The sequence below is a fragment of the Homo sapiens genome, chromosome 6, assembly GCF_000001405.40.
Source record: "Homo sapiens chromosome 6, GRCh38.p14 Primary Assembly".
Classification (NCBI taxonomy): Eukaryota; Metazoa; Chordata; class Mammalia; order Primates; family Hominidae; genus Homo; species Homo sapiens.
This window is the reverse complement of record NC_000006.12, coordinates 94,859,806-94,860,305: the sequence shown is the minus strand read 5'-3', so window position 1 is coordinate 94,860,305 and position 500 is coordinate 94,859,806. Positions and strand designations below refer to the sequence as shown.

Here is a 500-nt window from a genome sequence, read left to right as displayed (position 1 = left end):
GCCTCAGGGCTCTAAAAAGCAGAACATGGCAAGAGTCTGACCTGTATGTGCTGTAGTTTCTGGGGATTGGATTGGTGCTTGGCTCTCAACTAGAAACACCTCCAGAGATCCCTGAGTTTTCTGAAAGCAGATCATACAGACAGCACTCCAGGGGTTCAGGTAGAGGATCCCTGCATACCAGAGCGGACACTGGGAAGGAAATTGTGCTTACTCACCTTTGGCTAGTGTAGTAGGTTGAATAGGGCCACTCATCCAACTGTTTCTGTCCCAAAATGCATGCCAGAATGTGACTATTTGGAAATAAGTCTTTGCCGACGTAATTAGCTAGGGTGAGGTGATACTAGATTAGGGTGGTTCTAAATCCAATTACTAGTTGATGTGGTTTGGCTGTGCCCCTACCCAACTCTCACCTTTAATTGTATAATAATAATCCCCACGTGTTAAGGGTGGGACCAGGTGGAGGTAATTGAATCATGGGGGCAGTTTCCCCAGCTATTCTC

General features: G+C 46.6%; 1 annotated feature.

The window, feature by feature from the left end:
• Positions 1-295: a silencer, noted in NCBI's record as "tiled region #1325; K562 Repressive non-DNase unmatched - State 24:Quies". NCBI's record gives its function as "represses a minimal TATA promoter and a strong SV40 promoter by Sharpr-MPRA in K562 cells {active_cell/tissue: K562}" and the evidence as "EXISTENCE:reporter gene assay evidence [ECO:0000049][PMID:27701403]".